We start from the raw sequence: 538 nt of genomic DNA, 5'->3' as shown, positions 1-538 counted from the left end.
GCTGGAGTGCAATGGCGCTATCTTGGCTCACTGCAACCTCTGCCTCCCGGGTTCAAGCAATTCTCCTGCCTCGCTCCAGGTAATTTTTTGTATTCTTAGTAGAGACAGGGTTTCACCATGTTGGCCAGGCCAGTTTTGAACTCCTGACCTCAGGTGATCCACCCGCCTTGGCCTCCCAAAATGCTGGGATTACAGGCGTGAGCCACCGCGCCCACGCCCGGCCTTCTTATCTTTACACAGGGATAAGGATTGCAATTTTGCTTGCTTGCAGGCATGTTGTGAGGATCAAATAAGATCAAGCTTTTTGTGTGGAGGAGGTGAGACTGGAGGCAGGGAGCCCATTGAAATAGTCCCAGTGGGAGATATTGAGAGATGCAAGGGAAAAGGAGGAAGGATCAGCTGCAGAACTCAGTGACTTCTAATACCTGAGGGTGCATTGAGGGGAAGAGGGTGGAGGGTTGAGTCCTGCAACCAGAGGGACCTTTTCAGAATGGAAATGTGTTCATAGCCTGTGATTAAAATTGTTCATGGCTTCCCA

At 50.6% G+C, this 538-nt stretch overlaps 1 long non-coding RNA gene across 1 annotated transcript; it reads left to right on the top strand.

Annotated features, from left to right (window-relative positions):
• On the top strand, nt 1-538 carry LOC124903991 (uncharacterized). The gene is made up of 2 exons (XR_007065738.1): nt 1-79; nt 272-538. It is a non-coding gene; the product is annotated as an uncharacterized LOC124903991 (long non-coding RNA).

This window comes from Homo sapiens, chromosome 17 (genome assembly GCF_000001405.40).
Source record: "Homo sapiens chromosome 17, GRCh38.p14 Primary Assembly".
In the NCBI taxonomy this organism is placed as follows: Eukaryota; Metazoa; Chordata; class Mammalia; order Primates; family Hominidae; genus Homo; species Homo sapiens.
This window is presented reverse-complemented; position numbering and strand designations above follow the sequence as displayed.